Source organism: Homo sapiens, chromosome Y (assembly GCF_000001405.40).
Source record: "Homo sapiens chromosome Y, GRCh38.p14 Primary Assembly".
In the NCBI taxonomy this organism is placed as follows: domain Eukaryota; kingdom Metazoa; phylum Chordata; class Mammalia; order Primates; family Hominidae; genus Homo; species Homo sapiens.
Genome location: NC_000024.10, coordinates 24,584,831 through 24,611,887, shown reverse-complemented (window position 1 = coordinate 24,611,887; position 27,057 = coordinate 24,584,831). Strand labels below are relative to the sequence as shown.

Genomic DNA, 27,057 nt, shown 5'->3' with positions numbered 1-27,057 from the left:
ACTCCTTCTGTATAACCCAAGGACTTTGTAAAGTATGTGTGAATGTTGTAATCTTTTGTGACCTTTGTGCAAGAAGGTGATTCAGGACACCATGTATTTCCCTAAACCTAGTCATAAGAGTCAAAATATCCTCTATTGGCTGAATCCACATATAAGAGTCATTGTCATTCCTGATAGGCATGCCTAGGTATATCTTAAAATTCCCTCTGTGGTTATGAAGCAGGCAGAAGAGCAATGTCACCTAAAGGCTGGGCAAAAAACATTCCAATATTCTCTTTGTAGGCAAGGTCTTTTCAGAAATGTCTCAAAACTTGTGTGCTAGATTTATCTCTGTGGCACAATGTATTTGTGGGCAGTGACCAGGCAGTAGAGGAGAGAGATACTACCTAAAACCTGTGCCCAGAAATATGTCACAATGCCTCCTGTTGACAGGATCCGGAAAAGACCGTCATCTCATTTAGATGCAGTGTTTACAAATGCTACAATTACTAAAGGAAGCTGGGTACAGGCCAAACAAGAGAGTCATGTAACCTAGATGATGAGTCCAGAAATATGTGACATTCCCTCTGAGGAGACTGTTAAGATAGCACAGTCAAATCACCAAGGTGGCTGGCACAGATATTTGTCAAAATCTCATTTTGGGGCTATACCTAGGCAAAATTATTAAATCACTCAGGAGCTGGGCAAAAGTATATGTCACAGTTAAACTTGTGGAAAGGTTTAGGAATAAGACTTATCATACTGCACATATTCTGGCTCCAGATAGATGAGTTGATATTAGGCTTTTGTTATGACCTCAGTTATAGAGCACAATATCACCTGTGGCCAGAGAGAAGGAAAGAAAGTTACATCACTTATGTGGGTGGGGGTCCAGTGAGATGTCACAGTCCCCCTTGCAGGCAGGATCCTGGCAGAAGTGTTACATCACCTGGATGCTCACATCAGTGACATTAGAAAACTCCCTATGTGGGCAGGACTTTGGCAGAAGAGGATGCTCATTTCACCTGGGCAATTGTCCTGGATGTTTATCACAATGGCCCTCACGTGCAGTACCCAAGCTGGAGAGTGACCTCACATTGGTGCTGGGCCCAGCGATATGTCACAATCTCCCTTTGGTCAGGGCCCAGGCAAAAGCAAAGAAACATTACCTAGCTGGTAAAACAAGTAATATGTCACATAAATCCTGTTGACAGAACCGTAATAGAAGAATCACTTCACCTGCGTGCAGTACCCGTTATGTGTCACAATGCACTGTAAATGCAGGGACAAAGGAGTAGAAGGGAGTCACATCAATTACATAATGGACCTACATATAAGACACAATTCTCTTGGTAGGCAGTTTTCAGGCAGATAATTCGCATCATCTGGGTAATGGTCCCAGTGATATGTAATAGTGCCCTTCATAGAAAGAGCCAAGGGATGTGTTACATATTGCTCAGATGCTTGTTCGACATATGGCACAATTTCTTCTGTGATCTGGGTGTATAAAAGAGATCCAAATTATTCATGTGCTGTGCAAAGTTACCTGTCCCAATCACACTCTCAAAAAGGTTTGAAAATAAGTTTCACGTCTCACCAAAGTCCTGGTTTCCTGTATGTGAGTAAACACTATCTATGTGCCGGGTCAAAGCAGAGGAGTCACAATCTCAACAATCAGCCAGATTCATATATGACAGCCCATTCTCACTTGCAGATTGTGTTTCAGTTGGTGAGTCACATCACCGCAGTGTGCTGAATCATGGTTCATATGTTACCAAACCACCTGTGAATCAGATTCCTTTATGAGAGTAATTATTTCAGCTTTTGAGTGCTTCTTTATGTGTGAGATTCAAGGGCTACATTAGTAGGCCCTGTGCATGTGTGAGAATGACAATTGTGCATGTGTGAGAATGACACAGATATTTTGCTTTGCCAGTCCAGCTGAGGCTCCCAGGCCACTCAGACTCTGAGGAGAGTCCTGTGAAGAATGACAAACTTGGCACTAAGCAGCTTGCAATCCAGGCATTTCTTCAATATAGAATTAACAACAGAAGCTTTGAGTAAACACAATTGTGGATAATTAACATGGTTAAGAAAGTAGTTCTACAAATGATTAAGGTCAGGTACCATGGTCTAAAATAAATACTATTAGGGGGCAACTTTCCTGGTCGAGCTCCCCACTGAGAGAGCTATCTGGTTCAAAGACTGGTTAATGGAGGTAAAATAAACAGACTTAACTGGGGAAGCCTATATTGTCCCTCATTTTACCCTATGACCTAATATTCTCAAGTAAGAACTGGCCACCTTAAGCCTGTCCAATTATTACAAGCTATGTAACTTTTCAGCCTTCCAAAGCTTTGTGACTCTTCCTTATTACGTTCCCCAGTATTTCCTTTTAATATTTCTGCCACAAACCTGAGTGAATCACAACATACTGGCTCTGTCCAGGTATGAGAGTTATTATTGTGCAGGATTGCTTAACCCAGGCATTTGTCACAATTCCACCTATGAGCAGGAAGAAGCCAGAAGAGTCACATCACCTGGATGCTTAGCCAATTACACAGTATAATCACATTTGTAGGCTGGGCATAGTCTGAAGTCACATCAGCTGGATACAGACTGAAATAGTATGTCATTAATCCGGAGATTGACAGAAAAAGAGAAGAGTCACTCAACCTAGGTGCTGCACTCTGCAATATGTAATAATCCCCTCTCTTAACAAGGAATATGAAGGAGAGTCATATTCCCTAGGTTTTGTAATCAGCAGTATGTTACAATTTACTTGGTGAGCAGAACCCAGACAGGAGAGGTAGGTAGTATGACCTAGATGTTAAGCCAAATGATATTTTACAATGTCCTCTGGGGGCAGGGCACAGGCAGAAGAGACAAATCACCAAGATTATAGGTCCAGAGATATGTGATACTATCCTCTTTTGGCAGGGTCCAAGCAAAAGAGTCACATTTTTATGAATTCTAACCCAGCGATATGTCACAATGAACCCATGGGAAGAAATTTAAGCCAAAATGTCTCAACACCTTGGTACTCTGCCTAGCAATATGCCAAATCTCTTTGTCTTTGAGGGTGACACCATTAACTGTGAGCTGGTTGTGTATCTGATAGTCACAATCTCACATGTTTCCTGGGCCACTGTATGACCCTCTACAACATTTGAAGGCCTTAAACAGCATGCATGAGCATTGCAAACCACTCTGAGGCCTACATGCTTCTATGGACTCACAATATTAGATATTTTCCTAAACCAAGGTATGACAGTCCACATCTGTCTTATATGCTGGCTTCAGGAATGAGACCATTATTATGCCTGTGAGCTGGCTCCAGAAATGAGTCACCATCCCACCTGTGGCCAGATTCACTTACGAAAATTACAATTCCAATTTTGTACTGTATTCACTTGTTAGACTGAGGACCTCAACAATGAGTTTTGTAAATATAGCATGGTCACAACTTTTACTTTCACCTCAATGTGTAGTTGAGAGTCACAATCTTAATATTTTGATGAGCCCTGTTATGAAACTCCCTGTACCACACAAGAAGTATTTATGATACGAGTTAATACTGTAAACTTCTGTGAGCTTTGTACAAATATCCAATGAAAGAACTTACCTATTGACCTAAACCTAGTGATGAGAGGAAAAATATGTCCTATTGGCTGAATATAAGCTTGATCATCATGCCTTTGAACTGAAGCAAGGTATATGTCATAATCCAATTTTTGTGGGGGCAAAACCTAGGCAGAAGTTTAACATCACCTAGGTTCTGTGTGAAGTAATATATCATGACGCCCTCATTAGGCAGGGGCTAGTAAAGAGGGTCACATTAACTGGGGGATGGAGCTTTGTAATATGATAAAACCACACATGGAAGAAAGCAAGCAAAGTGATGAGAGCCAGAATACCTACAGATTTGGCCAAAGATATGTCAACATACTTTCTGTGGCTCTGGCACAGGGAGGAGAGTCACATCATTACGGTGCTGGGCCAAACAGTATGCCATAATTCCCTCTTTATGCACGACCTAGGCAGAAGAGTAACATCATCTGGGTGCTGAGCCCTAAAATATGGCAAAAGGCCTGTTCATGGGCGTTGTTCGGCAACCAGTCGAGAGTCACATTACCTAAGTGGTGGGCTCAATATGTCACAATATGTCAATTGTTTAGGTATATTTCACATACCTAGACAATTTAATAGGTGGGCAGAATCCAGGCTGAAGTGCCACATCACACGGTCCTGGGTCCTGAGACATTTGCAAGCCCTCCTTAGAAAAGGTCCCAGTCAAGAGAGTTACATCACCTGGGTGCAGGTCCCACATATATGTCACAATGTTCCATGTGGGCAGGGCCAAGCAGGAAGTCACATCACCTAGGTGATAGGCATAGAAATATGTCACAAAGCTTTCCTTAAAGCATGTCCCTGGCAAAAGAGTACCATCACCTTTGTGTGTGGCCTAGCAATATGTCACTATTCAAGTGTGCAGGTCCCAAGCAGAAGAGACATATTATCTCTATGATAGGCCCTGCAATATTTCAAAATGCCCTCTTTGGGGCGTGGCCCTGTCAAAATAGTATCATCACCTCTGTGCCACTCCTAGGAGTACGTCACTATCCTGCCCTGTGTGCAGGGCCCATTCTAGAGAGGAGAGTTACTTCTTTTAAGTGATGGACACAGTAATATGTCACAATAACGTGTGTGTCATGGTACAGGCAAGAATGTAACATCACCTGGATGCTGGATCCAGTGATGTTACAATTCTTACTGAGAGCAGGGCCCAGGCAGAAGTGTAACATCATGTCAAGGTTGGCCCAGGTAAATATCAAAATGCCATATGTAGGCTTGAACCAGTCTGAAGAGTGAAATCACACCGGTAACTGGCAAAGATTTATATCACAGTCTTGAAGAAATAAAATTCTGGGGATTAGATTTAGAATACCACACATGTCCTGTTTTCATGTAGGACAGATGCCTTCATCCACCTGTGATGGTGAAATTCCTTGCTGTCAGCTGGGTGTGCATACAATACTCACAATTTATTCTGTGTGCTAGGTGCTTTGTGACACCCTCTATTCAACACAAGGGTGTTAAAAAATATGTGTGAGTGTTGCAATCTTCTGTGACCTTTTTACCAGAAGGAGATTCTACATCACTCATGTCCCTAAACCTAGTTATAAGAGGCAACATTTCTTCTATTGGCTGGGTCCACATAAGAGAGTCATTATCATGCCTATTAGCTGTGCCTAGTTATATGTCACCATCCCGTCTTTGGTTATAAAAGAGATAGAACAAACACATCACCTACATTCTAAGCCAGAAGTATTACAACGTTCTCTTTGTCAGCAGGGCACTAACCGAAAAGTCAGAAAACTTTGGTGCCAGTCCCAGCTCTATCGCATAATGCCTCTTGTGGACAATGTCCAGGCAGGTGAGGAGAGTCATATCACCAAAATGATGGGCTCAGAGATATGTCACAAGGCCTCCTGTTGAAATGGCCCAGGCAAGAGAGTCATGTCATTTGGATGCAGTGTTTAGAAATGCCACACTCTTCACTGAAAGGAGGTTCAGACAAATGGGGAACATCACATTACCTAGATGATGGGCCCATAGATATGTTATAGTTTTTTCTGAGGACCCTCTACAACAGGAGAGTCAAATCACCAAGGTTCTAGGTCCAGGTATATGTCAAAATGTCATATGCAGGCTATAATTAGGCAGGATTATTAAATCACTGAGGAGCTGGACCAAGGTGTATGTCACAATAGCACTGGTGGAAATGTTCAGGAATGAGAGTCACCATTCTGCACATCCTGGCTCCAGGTATAAAGTTGTTATTATTCCTTTGATCTGTCTCAGGTATATGGCATAATTTCACCTGTGGGCAAGGAGAAGAAAGGAAAGTCACATCACTTCAGTGGGTGCTGGTCCAGTGAAATGTCACAATCCTCCTTGTGGGCAAGACTCCTGGAAAAGAGTCACATCACCTGGATGCTGGTTTAAGTGATATATGAAAATCCACCCTAAGGACAGAGCTTAGGCTGGAAAGGAGACAAAATTCACCTAAGCAATTGGCCTGGAGATATGTCACAATAGCCCCTATGTGCAGGACCAAGGCAGGAGCGTGTCCTCACTTTGGTGCTGGGTTCAGCAACATTTCATAATCTCTCTAGTGGTTAGAGCTCAGGCAAGAGAGAAGAAACATCACTGAGGTGCTGAACCAAGTGTTATGTTACAAAGCTTCCTATTGGCAGAGCGCCACAGGAAAATGAGTCACATTACCTGAGTGCAGTACCCAGTTATGTGTCACAATGCACCATAAGTGCAGTGCCAAGGCAGTAGAAAGAAGTCATATCACTTATGTGATGGACCTAGAAAAAAGCCACAGTGCTGTCTGCAGGCAGGGCTCAGGCCAAGATTTTACATCAGCTGAATGCTGGTTTCAGTGTCATGTAAAAGTGCCCCCTGTCACGTTGCTAAAGGTGTTATATGTTGCTTGTTGCATGTATGTCACAATTTCAACTCTGCTCTGGGCCTAGAAAGCAGAGTCAAAACACTCAGATGCTGGGCAAAGTCACACTTCTCATTCACACACTAAAAAGTGTTCAGAAATCAGTTTCACAGTCCCACACAAGTCTGAGCTTCATGCATGAGACTCAACATCTCCTATGACTGGGTCAAAGTACAGGAGTCACAATATCAACAATGGGCAAGATGCATGTATAAGAGCCCCAATCCCACTTGAAGATTGTGTGTCAGGATAAGAGTCAAATCACCAAAGGTCTGCTGAGTTGTGGTTCAAACATCGCCAAACCACCTATGGATCTGATTCATATATAAGGTAACAATTTCTAGCTTCAGCTGCTTATGGGAGGGAGATTTAGTAAATCATTCATAGGCCCTGTTTATAACAAACATGCCAGCTGGGTGTGCGTCCAAGAGTCACAATAGCACGTGGTCACTGGTGCCTGTTATGACACCCTTTGTACCACTCAGGATTTATATGATATGCCTGACTAGGCTACTTTTCTGTGATTTCTTATAGGTGGGAGATTTGGAATTTATCCGTGGCTGTAAGACAGACTATGAGAGTTAAAATATTCCCCCTGGCTGGGTTCATGTATGAGAGTTATTATTGTGCAAGTGTGCTGATTTCTGGTATGTATCACAATTTTCCCTTTGGACAGAAACAAGGCATAAGAGTCACATCATTTGCATACTGAGCCATGGATACACTATAATCTCCTCTGTGGTAAGGAGCCAGTGACATGGGTCATATCACTGGGTACAATCTCAAATAATATGTCATCTTGACAACTGCATACAGGGTTGAAAAAATAGTGGATAGTTACATCCTCTACGTGCTGGGCTCAGCAATATGATATAATCGCTGCTCTTAACAGAGTCCAGGACAAAGGGGAGAGTCACATCACCTGTGTTTTGCACTCAGGGGTATGTCACAATTTCATCAGTGGGCAGGATCCAGGCAGAAGAGGTGAGTCACATTACCTTGATGCTATATCTAGTGGTATGTCATAGTGTTCCCTGTGGGCAAGACACTGGCAGGAGAGACACATCACCTAGCAAACAGGACTAGAGATATGTGATAATATTTCCTGTTTGCTAGGTCCAAGAACAAGAGTACACATTATTATGATCCTAACCCGGCGATATTTCAAAATCCACCTATGGTCAAGAATTTAAGCCACTAATCTCAACACCTAGGGTTACCAGGCATAGTGATATGACACAATCTCCTTATCTTTTTGGGTGACACTTTTTACTGGTATGTATGTAAGTGTCACAATGTAACGTGTTCTGGGTCATTGTGTGACACATTCTACAATATTCAAAGGCTTTATGTAACATGCATGAGATTTGCAATCCATTCTGAGGCCTACATGCTCCTGTTGACTCACAATCTTATGTATTGCTTTAAATTCAGTTATGATAGACAACATCTCTCTTATAGGCTGGGTTCAGACAGGAGACCCATTATTATGTCTGTGATCTGAGTCCAGAACTGAATCACCATCTCAACTGTAGCAACACACACATATGAAAGTCCCAATTCCATCTTTGTACTTTATTTACTTGTTAGACTGAGGACTTCAACAGTGGTCTTTTTAAATGTGGGATAATGAAATCTTCATCTCTCTCCTGCATGACATGTGTAATCAAGAGTCACGATCTTAACCTTTTGCTAGGCCCTGTTATAAAACTCTGTGTACCAGCCAAAAAGTTTACAGAATTTGAATTAGTGTTGTCATATGTGAGCTTTATGCAAATATGCAACTTATAACCTTACCTATTGCCCTAAGTGTAGCAATGAGAGGCAAAGTGTCTACTATTGGTGCAATCCCAATATAAGTTTGATTATTATGCCTTTGAAATGAAGCAAGGTAAATTTCAAAATCCCATTTGTAGAAAAAAAAACTTGGCAGGAGGGTAGCACAATTTAGGTGCTGTGTCAAGCAATATGTCACAATGCCCTCTCTAGGCATGATATAGAAGTGAGGGATCCATTAAATGGGGGCTGGACCCAGCAATATGACACAATCCCAAATGTGGAAAAAAAAAAGAACCCAGACAAATGATGACACCAAAAACTCCTACTGAATGGGTCTATAATATGTAAAAATACTTTATGTTGCTCTGGCACAGGAAGGAGCGTTACATCATCAGGGTGAGGGGCCCAGCAATATGCCATAATTATCTCTTTATGCAGAACCCAGGTAGAATTGAAAGATTATCTGGGTGCTGGGCCCTGCAATACCTCAAAAATCTTTTTCTTGGGCATGGTTGGGGAAAAAAGAGTCATAGTACCTAAGTATTGGGCTTAGCAGTATGTCAAATCACCCCATTGCAAAGACTCAGGCAGAAGAAAAGATTCACATCACTTAAGACACAGGCTCAGATATATGACCCAATGTCTCAAGTAAGGAGGGCTCAGGCAGAAGGGTAGAGTCATATCACATAGGGGCTTCCCTAGGTATATAACACAATCTAACATATGAGGTGAAAGCTGGCAAAAGAGCCACATCGCCTTGATGTGGGCTCTTGAGATATATCACACAAGCCTCCCTTAAGACAGCACCCATGCAAGAGTGTTATAACAAATAGGTGCGGGTTGTACCATTATGTCACAATGCTCCACGTGGGCAGGGCTCAAAAAGATAGTCAGATCACCTAGGTAATAGGCCAGAGATATGTTACGATATCCTTCTTAAGGCATGGCTCGGGCAAAAGAGTACCATCACCTGTTTGCCTAGCCTAGTAATGTGTCACTATCAAGGTAAGCAGGGCCCAGGCAGGAGAGCAAAATCACCTAAGTGATAGTACCAGAGATTTGTCACAATGCCCTCATTAGGACACGGCTCTAATAAAAGATTACTGTCATCTACGTGCCTGACCCAGCCATATGATACTATCCCCCACTGTGTGCAGGGCCCATTGTCATGAGGAGAGTTACATCACCTAAGTGGTTGTATGACATACGACACAGTGATATGTCACAATGATGTCTGTGGGAATGGCACAGGCAAAAATTTAACATGACTTGGGTGGTGGACCTAGTGATATGTCATGACCCTTACCGAGAGCAGGACCCAGGCAGGAGAGTCACATCACCTAGATGTTGGACCAGGTAGAAATCACAATAACAACCTCAGGCTGGAACCAGTCTGGAGAGTCAAGTCACACAGATGGTCAGCAAGGATGTTTTTTCAAAATGACACTGGGAGAAAATTCCTGAAATGAGATTTACACTACCACACATGTCTTGTTTTCATGAGTGAGAGCTGGCTTCACATATTTCAGACAGTGACAGTATTTACTGTCAGCTGGGTGTGTATATGAGACTCACAATTTCACCTTTCTGCTGAATAGTGTTTTTACACTCTCTGTACAAGCCAAGGGCATTATAAAATATCTGAGGGTGTTATAATCTTCTTTGACCTTTTTTTTTTCTTTTTTACCAGAAAGAGATTTATGAGATTTATTCACTCTTGTTTTTGTTGTTGTTTTTGTTGTTGTTGAGACAGAGTCTGGCTCTGTCACCCAGGCTGGAGTGCAGTGCTGCAATCTCTGCTCACTGCAACCTCCACCTCCTGGGTTCAAGCAATTCATCTGCCTCAGCCTCCTGACTAATTTGGACTCCAGTCGCACACCACCACACCCAGCTACTGTTTGTAGTTTTAGCAGAGATGGTGTTTCACCATGTTGGTCAGCATGGTCTCGATCTTTTGACCTTGTGATCCACCTGAATCACCCTCCCAAAGTGCTGGGATTACAGGCCTGAGCCACCACGACCAGATAATTTACTCGTGTTTCTAAAGTAAGTTAGAAATGTCAAAGTTATTTTTATTTGTGGGGTCTACATAAAAGAGTCATTATACCTGTAAGTTGTGCCTATGTATAGGTCACAATTTACTCTGTGGTAATGAAATAGGCATGACAGCTAAGTCATCTAAATGCTGAACCAGAAATTTTCCATTATTTTTCTTGTAGACAAGTTCCTTGCAGAAAAGTTTTGTAACTTGGGTGTTACACCCAGATGTATGGCATAATGCCCCTTGTGGGCAGTGTCTAGACAGAAGAGGAGTCTCATACCACCTAAATAATAGGCCCAGAGATATTTCACAATGTGTCCCATTGAAAGGACCAGGCAAGAGAGTCATATCATTTAGATGCAGTGCTTAGAAAAGCTATAATCCCCAGTGGAAGCAGGGTCCAGGCAGGAGAGGAGAGTCAGGTAACTAGATGGTGGGTCCAGAGACATGTTACAATCTTTCCTTAGGATATTGTTAAGACAGGAGAGTCAAATCACCAAGGTGATCACCCGAGGTATATTTCCAAATCTCATTTGTGGGCTACACCTAGGCAGGATTATTAAATCACTCAGGAGCTAGGCAAAAGTATATATAACAATAACACTGGTTGAAAGTTCCAGGAATGGGAATAACCATCTTGCATATGACCTGGGTCCAGATTTAAGAGTCGTGATTAGTCCTTTTGTCTGGTCTCAGGTATATGGCACAATATCACCTGTAAACAGAGAGCAAGGAGGAAGGTCACATCACCTGGGTGGGTGCTGGTCCAGTGAGATGTAGTCATCTTTCTTGTAAGCAGGGCCTTGGAAAGAGTGTCACATCACTTGGATGCTGGTTGCAGTGATATATCAAAATCCCCCATGTGGGCAGGGCTTAGGTAAGTGAGGAGACCCTCTTTACCTAGGCAATTGGCTTAGACATATGTCACACTGGCCGCTATGTGCAAAACCAAGGTATAAAAGTGATCTCACCTGGTGCTGGGTTTAGCAATGTTACAATCTCCCCTTCGGTCAGGGTGATACAAGAAAGGAGAAACATCACCTAGGTGCTGAATTAAGTGATATGTTACAAAGCTTTCTGTTGGCAGAACCCAAAATGCAGACTCACATCACCTGGGTGCAGTATCCAGTTATGTGTCACAATGCACTATAAGTGCAGGGCCAAGGCAGTAGAAAGCAGTCACATCACTTACATGATGAACTTAGATATAAGCCACAAAGTCTTTTATAGGCAGGGATAAGGCAAATATTTCACATCACATGGGTGCTGATCCCTGTAATATGTAAAATTGCCCTTTGTATGCACACCCAGGCATCTATACTTAGGTGTTTGGTCGTCAAATTGTTCAGGGGATCAGCTAACTTTTATGTCCTGACCACATGATAGTAAATATTTAGAAATAAGTTTCACAGTCCCACACAAGTTCTGGATTTTTGTATGTGAGTCAACACTTCCTGTGAGTTGGGTCAAAGCAGAGGAGTCACAGTCTCAACAGTGGGCAAGCTTCATGTATAAGATGCCCAATTCCACTTGAAGAATGTGTTCCAGCAGAGGAGTCACAGCCTCACAGATGTGCTCAATCGTGCATCACCAAACTACCCATATAGAAGAGGAGCAATTTTAACTTTTGACTGCTCTCTTTGTGAGGTTTAATGCCTTATTTGCAGGCCCTGTTCTTGTGAGAGAATGACTACCGGGTCAGCTGGCTGTGCATTCAAGAGTCACAATGATACTTCCTTCCTGTTCCCTGTTATAACACTGTTTTTACCACTCAGGCTTTATATAATATGCCAGAGTGTCATAATCCTCTGTGAACTTTATACCATTAGGAGACCCAGTACTTTACTTGTGGCCATAAGACTGGCTATAGGAGTCAAAAAATCTCTCCTTTCTGGTTCTAGGTATGACAATTTTATTTGTGCATGTGAGCTGAACCCAGTTATATGTCACAATTTAACCTGTGAGCAGAAGCAAGGTGGGAGAGTCTCATCACCTGGATTCTGAGCTCAGGATACATTATAAACTCCTTCAAAGGCAGGGCCAAGTCAGAAGAGTCACATCACCTGGGTACCGTATCAAGTACTACGGCATCATGTCCACTGTAGACAGGTTTGAAGAAAAAAAGGAGAGTCACACCACCTAGGTGCTGAGCTCAGCAATATGTAGTAATTACCTCTTTTGGCTGACTCTGGAACAAGGAGGAGAGTTGCATTACCTAGGTTTTGTACTCCGTCGTATGTCACAATTCATTCTGCGGTCAGGACCCAGGTAGGAGACGAGCGTCACACTTCCAGATGTTACTTCAAGATATGTCATAATGTTCCTTGAGGGTAAAGCATGGGCAAAATAGACAAATTACCTAGCTGATAGGCTCAGAGATCTGTGATAATATACATTTTTGGCAGGGCCCAGGTAGAGCAGTCACATTATTATGATTCTGAACCCAGGATATATCACAATGCAAACAAGGGAAACAATTTATGCAAAGGTTTTAACACCTGGGTACTAGGACCAGCGATAAGACACAATCTCCTCATCTTTGAGAGTGACACCTTTAACTGTTAGCTTGGTGTGTATATGAGTCACAATGTCACGTGTGTGCTGGGCCATGCTATGACACCCTCTGTAATGTCTGAGGGCTTTATATAGCATGCGTGAGAGTTGCAAACTACTCTGAGGCCCACATGCTTATATGAAATCACAGTCTTATATATTGCCTTAAGCACAGGTATGATAGCCAACATCTCTTATTTAGGCTGATGTCAGGAATGTCTGTGAGCTTGGTCAAAAATGAGTCACAATCGCACATGTGGCCAGATCCATATATGAGAGCCACAATTTTATCTTTATATTCTTTTCACTTGTTAGACTCAGTACATCAACGGTGGGCTTTGTAAATGTGGGATAGTGACGACTTTTACTTTCACCTAGGTGTGTAATTGACAGTCACAATCTTAACTCTTTGCTGGGCCTTGTTATGAAACCCTGTATCACCCAAGTAGTTTATACAAGACAAATTTGTGTTGTAAACTTCTGTGAGCTTTGAAGAAATTTCCAACCCAGAATTTTACATGTTGCCCTAAGCCTAGCGATGAGAGGCAAAATATCTTCTATTGCCTGAATCCTAATATAAGAGACCATCATACCTGTAAGCTGTAGCAAGGTATATGTCATAATACCATTTGTGGGCAAAAAATTAGGAAAAAGAGTAACATCACATAGGCGATATGGCAATCGACATGTCACAATGCCCTCTCTAGGCAGAACCTAGGAAGGAGTGTTACATTAACTGGGTGCTGCGCCCAGCAATATTACAGAATTCCACATGTGAAAAATATTAGCCAAGGGATAAGAGCCAAAACTCCTACAGAAAAAGCCGAAGACATGTCAAAAATACTCTCTGTGGCTCTGGCACAGATAGGACAGTACCATCATCAGGGTGCTCAGCTGACCATCTGCAATAATTTTATCTTTATTCAGGACTCTGGCAGAAAAATAACATCATCTGAGTGCAATAGGTCAAAATTTCTTTGCGGTCACGGTTCAGAAAAAAGAGTAGAGTCACATGATGTAAATGTTGGGCTCAGAAACATGTCACAATCCCACCATTTTAAAGGCCCTGGTACAAGAGAGCCATATGACTTTGGTCATGGGCTCAGAGATATATCCCAATGACCCCAGTAGGCAGGGCTCAGGCAGTCAAGGAGATTCATATCACCTAGGTGCTTCCTGAGGAATATATCACAATGTTACATGTGGGCAGAAAACAGACAGGAGAGCCACATAGCTTGGGTTCTGCATGCTGAGATATTTCACAAGGCTCTCTTAGAACAGCTGCCAGACAATGGAGTTACGTCACCTACATGCAGGTTCTCTGCCTATGCCACAATGCTCCATGTGGGTAGTGCCTAAGGAGGAATGGACTACACCTAGGTGATAGGGCCAGAGATATGTCACAAAGTCCTCTATGAGGCATGGCCCTGGCAAAAGAGTACCATCACCTGTGTGCCTGGCCTAGAAACATGTCACGCTCCAGGTTGGCAATACCCAAGCAGGAGAGCCACATAACCAGAGATACATCAGAATCCTCTCCTTTGGGCATGGCTTTGGCAAAAGAGTAGCCTCACCTGTGTTCTCAGTCTTGAATCATGTCACTACCTTTTCTTTGAGCAGGGCCCATTCCAGAGAGGAAAGTTACATCACCTATGAGGTGGACACAGAAATATGTCACAATAATTTTTGTGGGCATGCTGCAGACAAGAATGTAACCTGTGGCCAGAGAGTAGCCAAGAAAGTCACATCAGCTATGTGTGTGCGGGTCCAGTAAAATGTCACAATACACTTTGCGGGCAGGACCCTGGCAGAAAAGCCACATCACCTGCATGCTGCTTGCAGTGACATATCAAAACTCACTATGTGGGCAGAACTTTGGCAAGAGAGGAGAACCACTTAGCCTAGGCAACTGGTGCAGATATATGTCACAATGACCCTCATGTGCAAGACCAAGGCTGTAGAGTGACCACAACTTAGTGCTGGGTGCAGCAATATGTCACAATTTCCCCATGGTCAGGGCCCAGAGAAAATATGAAGAAACATCACCTAGGTGCTGAGCCAAGTGATATGTTCCAATGCTTCCTGTTAGCAGAGCTCAAAAAGGAGAATCATGTCACATGGGTGCAGCACCCAGTTATGTGTCACATTTCAGTGTAAGTGCAGGGCCAAGACAGTAGAAGGGACTCACTACACTTATGTGATGTACCTAGATTTAAGACACAATTCTTGTAGGCAGTTTTCAGCAGATAATTTACATCACTTAGGTGATTGTCCCAGTGATATATAAAAGTGACCTTTGCAGTGGGAGTTCTGGAAACTATTATATGTTTCTTAGGTGCTTGTTTCACATATGGCAAAATCTAGTCTGGGATTAGAAAAGAGAGTCAGACGATTCATGTGCTAGGCAAAGTTACCTCTCCCTTTTATATTCTCAGAAAGATTTGGAAATAAGTTCCACATCCCACACAAGTATTTCTTTTGTGTAAGTGATTCAATTTTTCTGTGAGTTGGGTTGAAGCAGAGGAGTCACAATCTCAGCAACGAGCAAGATTCATGTATAAGAGCCCCAATCTCACTTGAAGATGGTTTTCCAGTAGGGGAGTCAGCACTACAGGTGTGTTGAATCATGGTTCGTATGTTACCAAACCACCTGTGAATCAGATCCATGTATAAGAGTAATTATTTCAATCTTTGACTGCTTTTTATGTGCATGATTTATTACCTCATTCCTAGGCCCTGTTCATGTGGGAGAATGTCAATCGTGTCAGCTAGGTGTACATACAAGTGTTCTCACCTCATTGCTGCTTTCTGTTATTACACTCTTTGTATCATTAAGGCTTTATGTGATATACCTGAGTGTTATAATCCTTCGTGAAATTTATACAAGTGAAAAGCCCAGGACTTTACCAATGGCTGTGAGACTGGCTGTGAGAGTCAGTTATCTCTACTGGATGGGTCCAGGTATGAGAATTATTATTGTGCATGTGTGCTTAAACAAGGTACATGTCACAGCTGGATCTGTGAGCAGAAAAAATGCCAGGAGAGTCACATCAGTTGGGTGCTGAGCCAGTTATATAGTATAATCTTGTTTGTAGTCTGGGGCTAATCAGAAGGGTAACATCACATCACCTGAGTGCTGAGCCAGTGATACAGTATATACTCATTTTTTGGCTGGGCCTAGTCAGAAGAGTCACATCACCTGGGTACAGCCTCAAACAGTATGTCACCAAGCCCACTAAAGACAGGAAAGAAGAAAAAGAGGAGTGTTCCACCACCTAGATGCTGAGCTCGGCAATATGTAATAATCCTTCTTTTGGAAGAGTCTAGAATATGAAGGAGAGCTACATCTCCTAGATTTTGCAATCAGCGGTATGTCACAACTTCTATGGTGAGCAGGGCCCAGGCAGGAGAGGATAGTCACATTTTCTAAATATTATGTAAACCGATATTTCACAATGTCCCCTGGGGACAGGGCACAAAAAGAAGAGACAAATCACCTAGCTTATAGACCCAGAGATATGTGATAATATTCCCTCTTGGCAGCGTCAAGGCAGAAGAGTCACATTATTATGATTCTAACCCAGTGATATGTCACAGTGAATCCATGGGAAGGAATTTAAGCCAAAAAGTCTCAACATCTTGGTAACAGGCTTCGTAATATGCCAGAACTCCTTGTCTTTCAGAGTGACATGATTCACTGTGAGCTGGGTGTGAATATGAGAAACACAATCTCATGTGTTTCCTGGATCATTGTATCACACTCTACAACTTTCAAAGGCTTTATACAGCATTCGTGAGAGTTGCAAACCACTCTGAGGCCAACATGCTTGTATGGATTCATTATCTTATATACTGCCATAAACCCAGATACGATAGTCAACATATCTTCTGTAGGCTAGGTTCAGGGATGAGACCCCTTATTTTGCCTGTAAGCTGGATCCAGAAGTGAGTCACCCTCCCATTTGAGGCCAGATCAACATATGAAGATCACAACTCCAATTTTGTTCTCTATTCACTTTTAGACTTAGGAACTTAATAGTGGGCTTTGTACATGTGGGATGGTGACGACATTTGCTTTCACCTGGGTGTCTAACGGAGAGTCCTAATCTAAACTTTTGATGATCTCTTTCATAAAACTCTCTTTACAACCCAAGAAATGTATACATTATGAGTTAGTGTAAAGTTTTTGAGTTTGATGCAAATATGAAACCCAGGACCTCATCTATTTCCCTAAGCCTAGTAATGAATGGCAAAATGTATCCTACTGGCTGAATCCCAGCATGAGTTTGACCATCATGCCTGTGAACTGAAGTAAGGTGTAGGACATAGTCCCATTTGTGGTCAAAAAGTGAGTCAGGAAGGTAACATCACTTGGGTGCTGTGACAAGCATCATGTCACAATGTCCTCTCTAAGAAGGGTATAGGGATTAGAGTAACATTAACTGGGTGTTGGAACTGCAATATGACAAAATCCCATATGTGGAAAAAGACAACCTAGAAATGAAAGCCAAAATTCCAACAGAATGGGCCCAGGATATATCACAATACCTTCTGTGGCTTTGGGTCAGCCATGAGAGCCATTATTAGGGTGCTGGGCCCAGAAATATGCCATAATCCCTCATATGTGCAGGACCCAGGCAAAAGAGTAATGTTATCTGCATGCTTGGCCCTGCAATAGGTCAAAATCTTTGTTTGTCTAATAACCCGAGTGCTGGGCTCAGCCATATGTCACCAATGTCACCATCCTCTCATTGTAAAGACCAGGCAGGAGAAGAGAGTCACTTCACTTAGGTCATGGGCTCAGAGAAACATCCCGGTGCCCCTGTATGCAGGGCTCAGGTAGAAAAGAAGAGTTATATCACTTATATTCTTCTCTAGTTATATGTCACAATCTAACATGTGGGCAGAAACCAGGAAGAAGAGCCACATCACCTGGGTATAGCCTCAAGTAATATGTCACCATGCCCAATGTAGACATCTTCAAAGAAAAAAAAAAAAAAAAGAATTAGACCACGAGCATGCTGGGCTCAATAATATGTAATAATTCCCTCTTTTGGCAGAGTACACAACAAAGAAGAGAGCCATGTCACCTAGACTTTGTGCTCAGTGGTATGTCACAATTTCTTCAGTCAACAGGATCCATCCAGGAGAGGAGGGTCACATTACCTAGATGCTATATGTAGCAATATGTCACAGTGTCCCCTGTGGGCAGGGCACTGGCAGGAGGGAAATGTCACTTAGCCAATAGATGCAGAGATATGTGAAAATATCTGCTCTTTGCAGGGCCAAGATAGAAGAGTCACATTGTCATGGTTCTGATCCAGTGATATGTAACAATGACCTCATGGAAAAGAATTTAAACCAAAAAGTCTCAATACCGGTATACTAAGCCAAGGGATGTGGCATAATCTCCTCATCTTTAAGCATGACATCATAAACTGTTATCTAGTTGTGTATATGACAGTCACAATCTCCCAAGTGTGCTTGCCATTGTATGATACTCTCTACAACATCTGAAAACTTTACGCAACAGGCATGAGTGTTGCAAAACTTTCTGTGGGCTACATGTTTATATGGACTCATAATCTTACATATTGCCCTAAACTGAGGTATGTCAGGCAACATGTCTCCTACAGGCTGGCATCAGGGTTGAGACCATTATTAGGCCTGTGAGATGGGTGTAGAAATGATCCACCATTTCACCTGTAGTCAGATTCACTTATGAGAGTCACAATTCAAACTTTCGGTTCTATTGACTTGATCAATTCAGGACTTCAGCAATAAGCTTTGTGAATGTAGGATATGAGTTAATGTTGTAAAATTCTGTGATCTTTGAACAAATATGAAATGAAGGTCCTTAACTATTGACCTAAACCTAGGGGTAAAAGGTAAAATGTCCCCTATTGGCTTAATCCCACAATAAGCTTGATCATCATGCCTTGGAGCTGAAGCAAAGTGTATGTCATAATCCCATTTGTGGGCAAAAAACTAGGCAGAAGGTTAACACCATTTAGGTGTTGTGCCAAGCAATATATCATAGTGCCCTCCCTAGGCAGAGCCTAAGAAATGGGGTCACATTAACCGGGGGCTGGAACCCACAATGTGACACAAAAATACGTGGAAGAAACCCAGCAAACTGGTTAGTGCCAAAGTACCTACAGAATGAGCAAAAGACATGTCAAAATACCTTCTGTGGCCCTGGCATGGACAGAAGAGTCATATTCTTAGGGTCCTGGGCCAAGCAATATGCCACAATTCCCTCTTTATCCATGAGCTAGGCAGAAGAGTAATATTATCTGGGTGTTGGGTCCTGATATACAGCAAAAGCCCTGTTCATGGGCACTCTTTAGCAAGAACATGAGAGTCACACAACCTAAGTACGGGGCTTCTCAATACATCACAATTCTCCCACTGTAAAACTACAGACAGAAGAAGTGAGTCAAATTACTTAGGTCATGGGCTCAATGATATGACCCAAAGTCATTTGTAGGCAGGGCTCAGGCAAAAAAAGTGAGTCGTATCACCTAGGTGCTTCTTTAGGTATAGGTCACAATTTAGTATGTGGGAAGAAGCCAGGCTGAAGAATCACATCACCTGGTCCTGGGTCCTGAGATATTCACAAATCCCCCTTAGAAAAGGACCTAGGCAAGAGAGTTACATCACCTAGGAACAGGTTCCACCCTTATGTTACAATGCTCCATGTGGGCAGCCTATGAAGGAATTCACATCACCTAGGTGATAGGCCCAGATATATGTCACATAACCTTCCTGAAACCATGGTCTTGGCAAAAGAGTACAATCACCTTTGTCACCTGGTCTAGCAATATGTCACTATTCCAGTGGGCAGTTTTCAAGCAGGAGAGCCATATCACCTATACAATAGGCCCTGTAACATGTCATAATCTTATCTTTTGTGCATGGCCCTGGCAAAGAAAAGTATCATTACCTGTGTGCCTGGCTTATGAATATGTCACTCTCCTGCCCTGTGTGCAGGGCCCGTTTCAGAGAGGAAAGTTATATCACCTCAGTGATGGACAACATAATATGTCACAAGGATGTGTGTGGGCATGGGGCAAGCATGAATGTAACGTCACCTAAGTACTGGATCCAATGATGTCACAATTCTTCCTGAGAGCAGGCCAGGCAGAAGAATCACAAGACTTCAATGTTGGCCCAGGTAGATATCAAAATTCCATGTGTAGGCTGGAACCAGTCCAAAGAGTGAAATCAAAAAAGCGCATGGAAGAGTTTTAGATCACAGTCATGATAAAATAAATTTCTAGGGATTAGACTTATAATGCCACATGTGTCTTGTTTTCATGTAGAACAGTAGCTTTTATACATCTGTGATTGTGAAAATCCTTCCAGTCAGCTGGGTGTCCAAACGAGACTCACGATTTCCTCTTTATCCTAGGCCCTGCTATGACACTCTCTATACTACTTACAGGTGTTATAAGAAGGTGTGAGTGTTGTAATCTTCTGTGACATTGTTAACAGTAGGAGATGCTTCATGTCACTCATGTCTCTAAACCTAGTTGTAAGAGTCAAAATTTCTCCTATTGGCTGTGTCCACATATGAGAGTCATTATCATGCCTGTTAGCTGTGCCTAGGTATATGTCACCATGCCCTCTGTGGTTACTAAATAGGCAGGACACTACATCACCTAAATCCTAAGCCAGAAATATTCCAATATTCTCTTTGTATGCAAGGCCCTAACGGAGAAGTAACAGAACTTAGGTGTTATGCCAAGCTCTATGCTGTAATGTTACTTGTGAAGAGTGTCCGGGCAGGAGAGGAGAGTCATATCACCTAGATGATGGGTGCAGAGATATATCATAATGCCTTCTGTTGTAATGGCCCAGGAAAAAGGGTCATATCATTTGGATGCGTGCTTAGAAATGCCACACTCTTTGCTTTAATCAGCGTGCAGTCAGGAGAGGAAAGTCGCATAACCTAGATCATAGGTCCAGAGATATGTTATGATCCCTTCGGAGAACACTGTTAAGACAAAAGTCAAATCCCCAAGGTTTTGGCCCAATTGTATGTAAAAATGTCACATCTGGACTCTAAATAGGCAGGATTATTAAGTGACTCAAGAGCTGGGCAAAAATAAACGTCAGAATAACACCTGTGAAAAGGTTCAGTGTTGAGAGTCACAATCCTGCACGTGACCTGGTTCCTGGTACAAGAGTCATTATTAGACCTTTTATTTGTTCTCAAGTATATGGCACATTACCACTTGTGGGGAAGGAGAAGAAAGTAAGGAAAGTCACATCATTTAAGTGTGTGCACGTCCAGTGAAATTTCACAATTCTCCTTGTGGGTGGGACTCTTGGAGAAGAGTCAATCACCTGGATGCTGGCTTCAGTGACATATCTAAATCCTCTCTGTTGGCAAGGCTTAGGCAAGAGAGGAGACAAACTGCACATGGGCAATTGGCCTTGATATATGTCACAATGGCCATTGTGTGCAGGATCAAGACAGGAGAGTGAACTCACCTTGGTGCTGGGCTAAGCAATATGTCAAAGTCTCTCTGGTGGTCAGGGTCAAGGCAAGAGAGGAGAAACAGCACCTAGGGGCTGAGCCAAGTGATTTGTTACATAGCTTTCTATTGGCAGAACTCCCCTCAAAAACTCTCACATCACCTGAATGCAGTGTGTCACAATACAGCATAATTGCAGGGCCAAGGCAGTAGAAGGAACTCACATTATTTACATGATGGATCTGGATAAAATCCATAATGCTCTTTGTAGGCAGGGTTTAGGCCAACATTTCACACCAGCTGGTTGCTGGTACCAGTAACATGTAAAAGGGCCCCTAGTTGCATTGACAAAAAGTTATTATACATTGCTTAGGTGCTGGTGCATGTATGTCACAATTTCTAGGCTTGGCCTAGAAAGGAGAGTCAAAATACTCAGATGCTGGACAAAGTCAAACTTCACAATCACACACTTGAAAATGTTCAGAAATAAATTTTACAGGCCCACACAACTTCTGGCTTCGGGTATGAGAGTCAACACCTCCTATGAGTTGGGTCGAAGTAAAGAAGTCATAATCTCAACAATGGGCAAGATACATGTGTAACAGCCCCAATCACATTGAAGGTTGTGTTCCAGTAGGACAGTCAAAGCACCACTGGTCTGGAGAATCGTGGGTAAATTTCACCACAGCATCTGTGGATCAGATTCATATATGACGGTAACAAATTCCAGCTTCAACTGCTTATGTGTGTGAGATTTTTTAACTCATTCATAGGCTCTGTTCATGTGTGAAAATGACAACTGTGACAATTCGATGTGTGTAACACCTGGTTGCTGGTGCCTGTTATGACACACTTTGTACCACACAGACCTTAAATGATACACCTGAGTAGGATACATTTGTCTGAATTTTTACAGACATCTAATTTTACAGAGATCTGAGACTTTACTCATGGCCATAAACTGGCTCTGAGATTCACAATATCTCCCTTGGATGGGTCATGCATGAGTTATTATTGTGCATATCAGCTGAATCCAGGTATATGTTAGAATTTCATCTTTGGACATAGACAAGATAGAAAAGTCACATCATCTGTGTCCTTAGCCAGAAATACATTATATCTTCTTTTTAGGCAGGATCCAGTCAGAAGGCTCATATCTCCTGGGTACAGTCTCAAATAATATATCATCTTGACCATTGTATACAGGGTTGAAAAAATAGAGGGTAGTCACATTCCCTAGGTGCTGGGCTCTGCAATATGTTATAATTCCCTCTTATAGCAGATTCCAGCACAAAGAGGAGAGTCACACCACCTAGGTTTTGCACTCAGTGGTATGTCACAATTTCCTAGGTAGGTGAGATCCAGGCAGGAGAGGAGAGCACATTACCTAGATACTATATCCAGCAAAATGTCGGTGTCCCCTGTGAGAGAACACTGTGAGAGGAGAGACATATCACCTAGCTGATAGGCCCAGAGATATGTTACAATATCCCCTGTTGGCTGGATCCGTGAAGAAGAGTCACCTTTTTATGATTCTAACCCAGCAATATTTCACAATACACCCATGGGAAAGAATCTAAGCCAAGACTCTCAACACCGGGGTGCTGGGCTTTGTCATATGACACTATCAATTTATCCTTTAGGTGACACATTTAACTGTTAGTTTGTTATGTATGTAAGAGTCACAATCTCAAGTGTGTTCTCAGTCATCTTATGAGACACTCTACAACATCTGAAGGCTTTATGCAAAATACCTTAGTGTTACAAACCACTCTGAAGCCTACATGCTCGTTTGACCCAAAACATACATATTGATGTAAACCCTGTTATGATAATCAACAGTTCTCTTATAGGCTGGGTTCAGACAGAAAACCCATTATGGTGCCTATAATCTGGGTCCAGAAATGAGTCACCATCTCATCTGTAGCAAGATCCACATATGAGAGTCACAATTCCATCGTTGTACTTTATTTACTTCTTAGAGTCAGAACTTCAACAGTGGGCTTTATAAATATGAGATGCTAAAAACTTTTTCTCTCACCTGCATTTGTAATCAAGGGTCACAATTTTAATCTTTTGCTGAGCTCTATTATAAAACTCTGTGTACCACCCAAGTTTATAGACTATGAGTTAGTGTTGTAAATTTCTGTGAGCTTTGTGCAAATATGCATCTCATAACTGTAACTATTGCCCTAAGCACAGCTATGAGAGGGAAAAGTCTACTATTGGTGGAATGCCAATTATGTTTGATCATGATGCCACTGAGTTGAAGCAATGTAAGTATCATAATCTCATTTGTAGAAAAAAAAACTTAGTGGAAAAGTAGCACAACTTACATGCTGTGGCAAGCAATATGTCACAATACCCTCTCTAGGCAGGGTCTAGAAATGAGGGTTACATTAACTGGGTGCTGGAGTGCTGGACCCAGCAATATGACACAATCTCAAATGTGGAAAAACAAGCCCAAACAAATAAGGACAGCAAAAACACCTACAGGATGGGCCCAAGATATATAAAAATACTTTCAGTTGCTCTGGTACAAGCAGGAGAGTTATATCTTCAGGGTGATGGGCCCAGCAATGTGCCATAATTATCTCTTTCTGCAGGACTCAGGCAGAAAAGGTACATCATCTGGGTGCTGTACCCTGCAATACAGCAAAATTTATTTTATTGGCATGATTTGGAAAAAGAACAGTCATTTAATCTAAGTATTGGGCTTAGCAATATGTCACAGCATCCCACGGTAAGGGCTCAGGCAGAAGAAAACAGACACATCACTTAGAACACAGGCTCAGATATATGACCCAATGTCTCAAGTAGGCAGGGCTGAGGCAGAAGAGAAGAGTCATATCACCTAGGTGCTTCCCTAGGTTTATAACACAATCTAACATATCAGGAGAAGTCAGGCAAAAGAGTCACTTCACCTTTATGCTGGTTCCTGAGATATGTCACAATGCTCCCTTAGGACAGGACATGGGTGAGAGAGTTACAACAAATAGTTACAGTTTTCACACTTATGTCACAATGCTCCATGTGGCAGGACTCAAGCAGCAAGTTATATCACCTAGAGGATAGGCCAAGAGATTTGTCACAATACCCTTTTTAGGATAAGGTCCCAGCAAAGGAGTTCCATCATCTGTGACCCTAGTGCAGCCATATGTGAGTATACCATACTCTGTGCACAGCCCAATCTAATGAGGAGAGTTGCATCACCTACAGGGCTGACACAGTGATATGTCACAATAATTTCTGTGGGCATAGCTTAGGCAAAAATATAACATGACCTGTGTGCTGGAGGTAGTGATTTTTCGTGATTTTTACTGGGAGTAGGTCCCAGATGGGAGAGTCACATCACCTCAAGGTTGGCCCAGGTAGATACCACAATAACATATGTGGGCTGAAACCCTTCCAGAGAGTCAAATCATATGGGTGATTCACAAAATATTAAATCACAAGCACACTGGCGGAAAACTCCCAGGGTAAGATTTACAATACCACACATTAGTTGTTTTTATGAGTGACAGTTGGCTTCATATATTTAAGATGGTGACATTCCTTACTGTCAGATCAGTGTGCATATGAGACTCAGAATTATGCCTTTCTGCTGCATTCCATCATAACAATTTCTGTACAAGCTGAGGACATTATAAAATACTTGAGGCTGCTATAGTCTTCTTTGAACTTTTTTATTACCAGAAAGAGATTTAATCATTCATGTTTCAAAAGCAATTTATGGAAGTTGAAAATACTTCTATGTGTGAGGCCCACATATGACAGTCATTACCATGTCTGTGAGATGCTTGTAAATTGAACATTGAAATAAAAGCCCAACAAGGTACTCTTAAGGCACTAATCTGTTCCTTACCAACATTTGTAAAGAATTATAAAATAATTTATAAAAATTATATCTTTTCCATTTCTAAGTCATCATTTTTGTTAAATAAGTAATTTAGGAAAATCTGGAATTTTATTTCAGGATTTTTAAACCTCTAAGTTGTAACATCCTTCTCAAAACCACACTGTAGTTACAAAATTATCTTTCTTTATTTCTAGCTTTTGGATGCTACAGAGGGCCCATAGAGTATCAACAAGAGAGATAAACAGGATTATATGGCATGATTAGTTACACGGAATTGCCAAATGGTGTTCAATATTTTTAGGTGATATTTTGGTGACTAATACTAATACATGTTCTAAAATTATATGGGATTTCTAAAATTCTAATGTCTGAAGTATATGCTATCATCCACAATTAAGGTTGTTAGGTTAATTTATTGCAAACCATATAGATAACGAAAATTTTTGTCATATTTCTGACTGTAACTACCTTGCACACTTTGTAATACACAGATAATTATTCCTTTTTTGATTTTTTTATGAAGTGCTTTTTAATCAGCTATAGATCTTTAATAGGTGCTCTCAATTGCAGGCTTCCGATAACTTTGGAGCTTGTGACATTGAAATACAGGAAAAACTTACAGGACTCTCAAAGAGCTAAAATATGTATGAATATCAAACAAAAGAAGAGTTGACTGAATGGACCGGACTAATAGAAAATTGAAGTAGCCCTTCTGACTTTTGTTTGAGACATTACTCATTCTTGTATTATTTACCAGAGTCAAGGAAACATCTTGAGATACTTACAGCCTTTAATATGTGAGCAAGGTGTACTCATGTGTGCACAATTTGGATCACGTTTGCCTTTCTCGGCAGGACTTCTCCTGAATTCGAAAAATAGTTGTGAGTGTTCTTAACTTGTGGCAATATAGGTGTTTGTATCAGTGCAATAACAGTCCAATTTCTCTTCCAACAGAACACAACTGGAGAAACTGGTTGTTTGAACAAGGCCTTGACTAAAAAATAAGCTTCCCTTTAAGGAGTCAAGATCAACTTGCAGAACCAAGAAAATCCCAGTGGAAAAATTGGCTTTATACCTCATCTAAACAGTCCTTTAGCAGGGTTCCTGATCTGTGGTAACTAAATAATGACACTTTCTGACAGGCCCAGGAGCTCCAAGTTTATCTTGGGACCATAAGAGCAGAGAATCACCCAACTAAAAATTATCTGATTGTACAAACCCGTGGCTGGGCTTGACTTTAGAAAGTCCCATCTGAAATTTCTTGTGGAACAGAGTTCCATCAAAGCCAATGTAAAAGACCTATCTAGAAATAATTATTCTTGCTGCATTTTATGCAAATAATCAGGCCCAGTATCAGAATAAAGTTTATTTTACAAACAACTCAGTCCTATCATGATTTATTTTTTAATAGAAGAGGACTGGATAAAGTTTATGTTTCACAACTTATTATATATTTGTCATTAAATTCTAAACTCACAAGTTTTGCATTGTTGCCTACTTTTTAGAACAATCTTGCTTATTTCTGTGACCCCACTAATGATCTTCAACTGCAGCCCACAATAAACAAAAATGAATTGGTACACATGAAAATCTGGATTAACATTATAATTCTGGACAATTATCCTGCAAATTCTGCAGAGTGATGGGAATATATAGGGTGCCCACCTAAATTTTATGAAGCACAACTATAGCCACTAGTTTCCTCAGTATGTCACAGTCATTCTTTTCTCACCCTTGTAGAAGAAGAACTCAATTCCACAGCTTCATCTTAGCATTCAGCTCATGATAAAGAGTCCATGCAATGCCCTGAGACACATTTTTGCCCCAGCCTCAATTCTAAGCTTCT

General features: G+C 41.7%; 1 long non-coding RNA gene across 1 annotated transcript in view; it reads right to left on the bottom strand.

The window, feature by feature from the left end:
* Positions 1–4,862: 4,862 nt before the first annotated feature.
* Positions 4,863–27,057, bottom strand: part of TTTY4B (testis expressed transcript, Y-linked 4B) — a 36,824-nt gene continuing 14,629 nt past the window's right edge. Inside the window, exons 2-4 of the long non-coding RNA NR_002178.1 lie at positions 14,444–14,519; positions 12,532–12,639; positions 4,863–5,863 (exon numbers count right to left, since the gene is read on the bottom strand). This is a non-coding gene — a long non-coding RNA (testis expressed transcript, Y-linked 4B). The remainder of the gene's footprint in view (positions 5,864–12,531; positions 12,640–14,443; positions 14,520–27,057) is intronic.